This window comes from Homo sapiens, chromosome 4, assembly GCF_000001405.40.
Source record: "Homo sapiens chromosome 4, GRCh38.p14 Primary Assembly".
Taxonomy (NCBI): domain Eukaryota; kingdom Metazoa; phylum Chordata; class Mammalia; order Primates; family Hominidae; genus Homo; species Homo sapiens.
The window spans coordinates 116520994-116529397 of NC_000004.12; positions in this window are offsets into that span (position 1 = coordinate 116520994).

Sequence of the window (8404 nt, forward strand, 5' to 3'; positions counted from 1 at the left end):
AAAGAAGCTGAAGGAGGACCCAAGGGAACGTGGAGCAGTGGTATGCCCATTCACTGTTTCACCACAGAGAAACAACAATGTGCAGAAAGTACAATGTGCAGAAAGTACACCAATGAGGAACAGAAAGTGGCTGCTGTCTCACTTTTGCCCTACAACTCTCAGACAAGTATCTCTCTCAAGTCCCATACCAACTGGAAACAAACTGGAAAGAAATTCCGGGAAATGTAGTTTATAAGCTGACACATTGTAAAGCCCTCACAAATACTGCATTTCCTTTACTATTTTTCTAGATAAATTATTTTGTGTACCACATTTCTAGGCTATGTCTACAAATACTTTTCATAAAAGTAGAGTCTAAAATATTTTGTTGTTTTTCAGTACATAGGGGTGATTCACTTCTATAAATGAATGCTTCAGTTTTAAATGCATTGGAATATTGAAGAGGGAACATTTCTTGTGTTGCATTCAAATATTTATATTAGAAATGTTCAGTTGTGATATAATGACAGAAACAAAAAATTAAAATCTCACAAAATAAAGATTATGATTTCTGTATATTTTCATCCATGCTCCAAAAAGGTAAATTGACTCATGTTTCCACTCTCTTTGTCACTTGGCCAGTGATTTATAGTACAAAGAGTGAAGATTTTAGAAGGCCCTTCTAGGAGAGCACATTTCCTGCCTCTCTGGAGCCAATATCCAATGTGCCTGTAAATTACCGAAATGAGTTACTTATTTAATAATTCAGACCAAAACAAATATTGTCGTCTTTTAACAGCACCACAATTTCCTTTGAAAACTTATGTTTTCTGTGTTGGATGCAATTCAAAAGAAAATCTGCCTTTTCCTATCTGAGGGGAAGGTGTGTAGCTCAAGCTAAGATAATCACATTAATATAATAATTCAAAAAATAATTAATGGTCATGATGACTGCACTTATTTTTAATTCATAACTGGCAAAATATTAATAATATTAATATTCAAAGAAAGCTTTCTCAGGACAAGGTCTCCATACTCCCAGGCATTTGTATTAACTGATACTCTGCAGAAAATTTATTTTTACCCTGTCAATTCCAGCATTGTAACTGATAACAAAAGGCCAGTGCTGTAAAATAACTGCAGTTGCACAAAATATGCGCTGGAAAAAAATAAATCCAAAGTGGCATAACATATTCCCTTATATAGAAAATAATCAAACCCAGTCTAATCTGGTCGAGAGGCTGAAAGCACGTGCTATTTATCATTTAATTTCTTTCACAGATTTAAGTATGCCACATATTGTTTTGTTTTGTATGTAGTGATAGAGTTTGGCAGTCATATACACTTAGAAGAATTAACAACATCATATAGGAAAAATAGATTCAGAAACTATTTCTATAGGACTGTATTTTGGAGAAAATGAAATTGAATATAAGAGCCTTGTAAAGTAGTTGTTTTCAAAGTGTGATCTGCAGACTTGCATGGGGATGCCACAAGGTTTTTAGGGGACTGTGAGAGCAAAATTGTTTTCATATTAATATTAGGATATTTTGTTTTTGTGTTGACATTTGCATTAATATGATAAACTCAATGATGAGTGAGACTACTATTGGCTTAGCTTGAATAAAAACGGTGGTACCAAACCCTTCCAGTAGTCACTGTGTTTTTCACCAGGAAGTGCTTCTTGTAAGAAAATAAAAAAAAAAAATAGAAGCCAGTTTTCATGGTCCATGAAGATATGAAGATTAATATTAATAAATATTGGCAATAGTGTTCATACATTTCTAATATTGTTTGAAAAAAATTTTAAGTATTAATAAAGTACTCATGGTACATAACAAAGTACAATTTTTGCCTTAAGTGAAAGCACTTGTGTGATTGATGTGATAACTGAACTAGTTATCTTTGTAAATGAACCACAATTTTTACTTGAAAGAATGAGATGACCTGCAGTTATGCAGATTTATGTACTTGGTGGACATTTTCTTGAATATGAACTAAATTAGTTTGACATTGTAAGGAAAATAACTTAAAATTTGAACTTACAGCAAACATTAGAATTATGAAAATGGGTATCTGCCATTTTCAGCTTGACAACATCCAATAATTAACATACTTTCTGATGAGAAAACTATTGAATGCCAATATCTTTATATTGTATTGTGCAATATGTCAACATTTGGATGCATTTATTTTTATGATTCAAAGAACCAAACCCATAGCTTCCAAATGACCAATGCATTATGTTACAAAATCATGCATGGGTAAAATGTTAATTTAAAATGCATATAAGTGCAGTGGAGTTTAATGTGAAACACTGCAAAAAGCTCAATACCTCAATAATATGGTTTCAGGTTCTACATTAAAATTAGCTTTTATGATACCATCATTTTTTATGTTTAGGAGTAGTATCCAAGAAAAATATCCACAATTATCCAGAAAGACATACTTTAAAGATATCGAGAACTATTCTGATTTTTTTCACTAATTTTTATGTTTAAAATATTTTTCAAAAAAAAGTTAGTTTTGTTAACATGTAATTAGTTTTTCATTGTTCTAAAGATTATGGTAAATATTTATATTTTTAATATTATCATTTACATTACAAATATTATGTATGTTCCACATAAATACAAATTTATTCAGGTCCTCAACAATTTTTTAAACTTTAAAATATTAATAAGCCTAAAAAGTTTGAGAACCTTTTTTTCTAGAAGGTAGAAATATACAACATATACATTGTCTGTGTTTGTAAAACTCTTCTACAATTCCGTGGAATCTTTCATTTATTTTTTCAATAAAGGTTTATTGAACAGCTACACTATAGTAACCATTTTTGCAGGTGCTAAGATTAGAGAAGTAAAAAAAAAATAAACTCTTCTGTTTTTAAGGATTTTATATATTGCTGCCTTTTGTCTCTCCCTCATAGTGACAGTGACCACCATCACTGAGTCCCTTACTCCTTCATCTGCTAATGTCTCATTTACTTTGTTTTCATTGTTTTAAGATTTTGAAAATGTATTTTTAAAATCCTTGAAAAAAATCTTGGCTAGGCATGATGACTCATGCTTGTAATCCCAGTGCTTTGGGAGGCTGTGGAGAGAGGATAACTTGAGTCCAGGAGTTCACGACCAGCCTGGGTAACAAAGAAAGATCCCTTCTCTACAAGAATTTTAAAAAATTAGCCAAGTGCTGTGGCACATGCTTGTAGTCTTTACTACTTGGGAGGCTGAGGTGGGAGGATTGCTTGAACCCAGGAGGTAGAAGCTGCTGTGAGCTATAATCATGACACTGCAATTCAGCGTGGGTGACAAGAGATTCTGTCTCAAAAAACAAAAACAAAAACAAAACAAACAAACAAAAAACTTGAAATAAAATCTTTAAGAAAAAAGACTCATCAATTTTATTCTATAGCGATAGTAAACAGAATCAGTTCTTCAATTCTGATAAACTTTATTTTTATTCAAATACATCTGACTTTATATATATGCCTCAAATTTTTATTACAAATATTTCCAGGGTTCTCTGCATATCTACATATGCCTTAGCAGATGACCTGTCCTGTTCAGAATAAAGTCTGAATTGTGGAAAATAGGTCAGTCAGGCAAATAGATATTGGAGAGTTTTTAGTAGCCAATTTTGATTTCCCATACATGTATGCATTTTATTAAAAGTATATTGACATTTATCAAGAAGTAAGTCCATGATCCTCTAATTGGAGAGTAAAATGATAAAATAGTAAAAGGAACTGGGAAAAATATCAGTAAAATTATTAAATATCTAGAATTTAGAAAATTGTGAGAGAACATAGTGTTGGATGTAAGAGAAAGTTTAAATGATCTAATGCTACAACAATTTGAGAGAAATATATTTGCACATATATATCAGCATAATTATATCGAATTTGTGAGACTTTTCATTGTTATTAATTGGACAGTTTCTTCAAGTTGACTGTAAAACACTTCCAGGAAAAGTAGTTCTCTAAAAGTAAAAATAACTCTAAGCTAGGAGAAGATCTGAGATAACAATTCCTACTCTTCCACTCAACTTTCACAAGTTGTGCAGTATCTATTGATGTGTTTTGAATTTTTCAAAATTTTTGTAATGATACTCTATATACAAATTTGTGAAAGACTAATTGGTACCATATTAAATATACTTTGTAAAATATTACATAATTTTAGGTAGACATTGTGTTTTCAAAAAATATAACATTTTAAATTTCTTTTATTCTAATTTTCTCTCCCTAGCTTATCTAGCCAATTTAAATGCAATTCTTACCAAATGATAATGACCTAATATTGCATCTTTAGCATTTTCTTTATCACAAATTTATAACCAAGAAAACAATCAACTACGTTGTAAAAATATGACGGATATCTACATAAGGAAATAATCCTAAAGTAATCTGCTAAACACTTGAGACAGAAAAAAATAAATAAATAATAGATAGTTATAGGACAGGATGACATAACAAGAAAGTTAATTAAGAAAAACTAGTGATGAACTTATAAGCATAATTTGACAAACTGCAATACAGATAACTTGTCTTTGAATTGGCAGCCCAAACTTTTACAGTATTTTGTGTTAAGGTCTGTGAAGACCTACTGGTATTTGTGAATATGAACTTGGATCACAATAATTTTTCCTAAATTGATGTGGAGAAACATTTCTTAGTCATTACGTTTAACTTTCAATCAAACCAAGTATTACCGTTTATGAAAAATAATGTACCTTGGAAATGAATCTGAAGAAGCAGTTTTTCTTATTAAATCAACATTTACGAAATTAGCATTAATTAATTTGAAATGAAGCAAGTTTTATAATCAACCATTGTATACATGTCTATGTAATTGACTGGGATGCTTATTTGACAAAAACATTCTAAAAGCCCAAATAAATTCAAAATCTACTTGTTGACACACACATATTATATAAACAGTATATTTTCCATGCATAAAATTTTGCTTTTGTTATTTCTCTGTTCTCAGCTTAGCCTCAAGTCTTTGCAGTTGCTGTTTCCATATCCTGCAATGCTCTGGATCGCCTAGATCTTTATATGGTTTGCTACCTCACACTATTTGTCTCTGATAAAATGTCATTTCCTCAAACATTTCTTCTCTGACTGTCCTTGCAAATACTCAAGTCAGCTTCCTCATGACAATTATTCACTTGAATAAAGACAACCATGAGTTTTCTCATGTACAAGATAAATATCCTTAATTCCATTACCCAGTCTTTAATGGTTAGGAATATTCTCATCATTCCTTGTTCTTCAAATTGTCATTGTACCTCTTAAAATAAATATCTAAAATTGAATAAAGTATCATGTATGGCATGGCCAGTAAAGGGCAGAAGAGAACTGTTACCTTCCTCATTTTAAATGCTTGAATTCTTTAATATATCTTGAGATTTCATTAGCATGTTTGTCAAATATATCTTCTTGTTGACTCACACTAAGAATATTGAAAATTATGTACCTAAATAATGCTATAATAGTAAGCCACATTTTTCTCTCTTGATTTATACTTTTAACTAAATTTTACTTTTTCTTTCAATGACTATTTTAAATGTTGGCCAATGTATATAAAATAAAATAATATATAATTTGACATCAAATTAACTAGAAACATTAACTTTATCCTAATAACTAAGAACCCCTAGGTTCTTAAAGGAAACATTTATTGTTTCATTTGGTTCCTCAAGTGACAATTCTATATTCTCTTATCACAACAATTGTTTTATGACCTAATGAACAGAATAAATTTGCCAGAAACACTAGTTAAAAACTAAAATTAGTTAACAAATCTTGAATTATATTGTAGTATTAGAATAACACTACATTTTTAATTAATGTTACTATTTATACTTGAGAAATGTTATTAACTAAGATGTTGGAATAATGAGCTTTTCACACCTCAAAGCTCAGTGGAGAGTTTGGCTGTAGAGGAAAATCAATTCATTATAAAATTATCTTCTAAGCAACTAGAAGCTGTTAATAAAATAAATCATCATAGTATTTTCAGAACCATGAAGCTGCTCATGCAACAGTGATGAAGTGAAAAATAATTGGCGTTTATGCATGTTTCATACTCGAATGGGCTTTACCTGCTGTTTCAATTTTGATATTGGAGAAAGAACCAAAAAATAATAATCAAAACGTATAGTTTAATTATTGGAAACCACTTTGAGATGTTCTAAATATCCTAAAGAAAAGGTAACTCCTTAGTGAATTAAGGAGTTTTTGTTTTCCTTAGTGAAAAGTTAACTCCTTAGCTAAAATCTTAATAAATTATAGGTTTTTTTTTAGATGCTAGGTTCCAATAGGTACACTCAGGCAAACAATTACATTAATATTGTCAAAGAGAAATGACATTTGATATCTTTACTGTCCACCTTGATTCCAGGACTCTGCGTGCTTGACAGAATCTGTGTATTCGCTATCTGTCTTTCCTCTTTTTCAAAGTTCGTTTGTTTCATGCTCCAGTTACATGGATAATGGAGAAGGAAAAAATTTTATGACTCACAGCATGGTAGATAACATAAGCTTCATATTTACATCAATCCTCCTTCCTCTTCAAATATCAGAAGTGTAATATGTAGGCAGGCCAAGCTGAATGCTGCACGCACACTAGGTTTATGGCACAGCTGAAGAAATTCAAGCTTAGGTAACCTTGATCTTTTGATGGGAGTTGCTAGTGAAACTGACCAATTATTTACCCTAGAGGAAGACTTTGTACAGCTGTTTAATTCACAAACATCCTTAGTCTGGATATCTGATATAAGACTTGCAGCAACTGGAGGGACCTATTGAAAATCATGTCTCAACACTCTTAGGAGTTAAGATTTAGCCAGAGACCTGAATGGCAAAAAAGATCCAGCCACTGATAATCAGAGAAAGCCTCCTGAGGAATGAATGCAACTGTTGCAAAGGTCCTACGGAGAAAAAACAAAACAAAACAAAACAAAACAAAACAGAAAACAAAAAAACTGAAGATTTAGGGAAACAGAAAGATATCATAGGCCACAGGTGAAGTCTAATACGTGATTTCAAAGTGGTTGATAGGGGTCAGATTTTATAAAACAAGACTTCTCAAATTTTAATACTCATAATCACATGGGAAGAGGTTCTTGTTAAAATGCTGATTCTATTTAAGTAGATCTGGGGCAGGGTGTAAAATTCTGCATTCTAACAATGTCCAGTGAGAAATGATTGTGGTGTACGGTAGTGATCGAGGCAGAGAATACTGGGCTGATACAATTTAGCACACATTATGCAAACAGATATAATCAATGGAATAGATATGGATGGTAATGAATGAAATAGACGTAGATTGTGAGGGAACAAAATGGATACAGAGGATAAAGGGAATAGAGTCGTAAAGGAAAACTCCTAGGTATTTTGACTTTAAAATTGTATATATTATAGCATAATTCTTTGAGATAGGAAAGACAGGAAAAAAGCATCCTGAGTGTATGTGGGTGAATATGAGAATTAAGTGTTCTATTTGAAGAAGAAATGTGAACCTACAAGAAATTCAAGTGTGTAAGTCAAGTAATCAAGTAGATGGTATACACATTTGCAGTGATAAAGGTCATTAACATATAGGTACATATAGCTATTACGTAAGTTATAGAATTAAGTTAAACTATCTAGGAAATTGAGGAGTAAAGAAGATCTAAACAATACTCAGAGCTTTTAAAGTTTTAACAAGGAAGAAACCAGAGAAAGGGTCCCATATGAAGCAGGAAACAGTCTTCTTTGATGGCATTAACAAGAGCACTTGGTGCACTTTTTGAAACAGGAAATTCAGTGAAGTTAGTTAAGGAGAAAACGGGAGGGACAGAAGTAGGGACAGCAAGATATAGTTTTTTTCTTTAAGCTTTGTTCTAAAGGTTCACTGTAAGAAAATAATTGTAGTTAAAAGGGGATATAAGCAAAAGTGAGAACTTCTTTACTCTTGTTTTATGATAGAAGACATTAAAGCATCTTGGCACGTGAGGGGATTGATCAAGTACAATGAGAGTATTTGATGCTCTTCAGAGGAGATAATTAGATTTAGGAAGTTTCTAGCATAGCAAAAGGGAATATGATGCTGATAAGGCACATAGATTTGAAAGCAGAGGCAAAGGATTCATTGTAACAGGAAGGAGGGCAAACCTTGATTGTTGTCATTTAAATGATATATTGGTTTCTTGTGATTTTTCCTCTTTTATTGAAGTACAAGGCAATATCATCATTTGAGTAGAAGAATGGGGGATATTTAATGGTTAAGGAAATACAAAACAGTTGCTTTGGAGACTGAGGGAGCAAAGTCATGAAAAAATATGTGGTACCACTGAGCAATATTTGTCGATTTGACATTTTTGGTTGTTAATTTAAAGTAAGCCTGGTCAATTTTTGGGGTATCTGATTGTTTATTTC